Below are 1,867 nucleotides of genomic sequence, written 5' to 3'. Positions count from 1 at the left end.
TTATTTATTAAAATTATTACACCTTTGCAGTTCTACCAATGAATAAAATCCTTTTTCTTTCCCTGTAATGTAACAATAATAAAATTAATTCTTGCATTTTCATTAGCAATTAACTTTTATATTTGCCCAAATTTCGGAATATCGTCCTGAAATTATTGCAACTTGCATGATGAAACAATGTAATGGGGTTCTAGTTACCATGGAATGTTTTAGAATGTGTTAGGATTCTACACAGGCCTTACTTCTAACAGAATACTTTTTCATCGAGTTCACACACCATAGCACTTGAATGGGGTGGTACTTCACAAACCACCCTATGGGTGGAGACTAGACCACAAGACCCCTTAAAGAACTTTCCAATTATGACTTTTTTTTTTTATGATTTAAAAAATTGGAAATTTCCAGGTAACTGAAAAACAATGGAGAAAAATAAAGAAAAAAAAAATCTACACAAATGCAAGGCCCTCAATATGACTTAAGACAGAGAATATCCAGAGTTTAAATAACAGTAAGTAAAAAAGGAAAAATCACTTAATCCCAGCACTTGTCTCTGCTGCCCACACCCCAGTCCCACCTTGCTGCCTGGCAATGCCCTGAACAAAGGCCAACAAAAGAGAGAAGAGGAAAGGCAATGCAGGCCCAGCAGCAGGTCTAAAACCACTGCCAGAATGGGATACTAAATCCACCCCTAGTTTGCAAATGCAAAATCAAAACCAAATGTCCAGGTGAGACGAGAAGAGACATTTAAAAGTTTGCATGATTTGAAGGGGCAATCTTCAAAATACTTGGTTCTTGCGGAAGCACAAAGCAGGCAGGAAGGAAGAAGAATTGAGTTTACAGCAAATGACTGCAACTCTGCAGCCTCCCTCACCACTGGCTCTCTGTCCGTCTGACAGTTGTTTGTAAACTCCAGAAGGGAGAAAGGTGGCATTATGAACCTAGCCTGCCCTGTAAGACATGAATTTCCATCCTGAAGTAAATAAGAAATCATGGGAACAGCGGCAATGGAGTCTGCTGAATTCTTAGCTTGATGTGTGTACACAGAAGCCTTGACCACGCACTTTGTCCCCATGGCTAGTATCAGTGTGTTAAAAGATGTGAATTTGTTTATTCTCCCTTGATCTACTTTTTGTATAAATTCTTCACAGGGGGTTACTACGAGAAACTGTGATGGAGGAAGTTGTTATCGCTAATGGCTCTGAAGGTTGTTAACGTTAATGGATTAGAACTGGAGGCGTGTTAAACTCAGTGATTTCAGGTAGCAGGGGAATTAAATAAAAGATTTTCTAGGCTCTGGCTGGAATTTCAGAGTTCAAATCACATTAATACTATTTGATCAAATCTACTGAAAGAACAATCCAAGCACAAATCCTGTCGTTGCCCTCGGCCCCCAGGATTCACTGGCTGGTTGACTCATCTTATCTGTGTTTAAATAGGTTTAGATTTGGGTAACGCTGATTAAAATTCAGATTGATGTTTTCAAATTTATTGAATACTATATATTTTATTATACTTTCTTTGAAAAAATTAATGTAATTGTCAATTACAGGTCATTGCTTTATGACTTAAGTATCTTCCCAGAACATGAAGATACTTATTAGGAAATAACTTATTGACTTCATCAAAAACTACAAAATTACAATATTCTTCTTTGGAAAATAAATGTTAAAATCACATAATTATACATAATCTATAGTCAAATGTTCAGGTCAAAAATCACACTAATCAGTTTTAAAGTTAAAACATTAAAAATATAAAATAAAATAATTAAAAGCCTCTTCTTCAACCTTCGCCATTATCATCGTCATCATCAACATTATCACCATATTAATCACTATCACCATCATCTTCAGAGGGGGAAGGAGAG

General features: G+C 36.2%; 1 long non-coding RNA gene across 1 annotated transcript; it reads left to right on the top strand.

The window, feature by feature from the left end:
• Nucleotides 1–232: 232 nt before the first annotated feature.
• LOC105372166 (uncharacterized) lies at nucleotides 233–1,296 on the top strand. Its single transcript, XR_935577.2, has 2 exons — nucleotides 233–508; nucleotides 1,149–1,296. It is a non-coding gene; the product is annotated as an uncharacterized LOC105372166 (long non-coding RNA).
• The last annotated feature ends 571 nt before the right edge of the window (nucleotides 1,297–1,867 follow it).

This window comes from Homo sapiens, chromosome 18 (assembly GCF_000001405.40).
Source record: "Homo sapiens chromosome 18, GRCh38.p14 Primary Assembly".
NCBI classification, from domain to species: Eukaryota; Metazoa; Chordata; class Mammalia; order Primates; family Hominidae; genus Homo; species Homo sapiens.
This window is presented reverse-complemented; position numbering and strand designations above follow the sequence as displayed.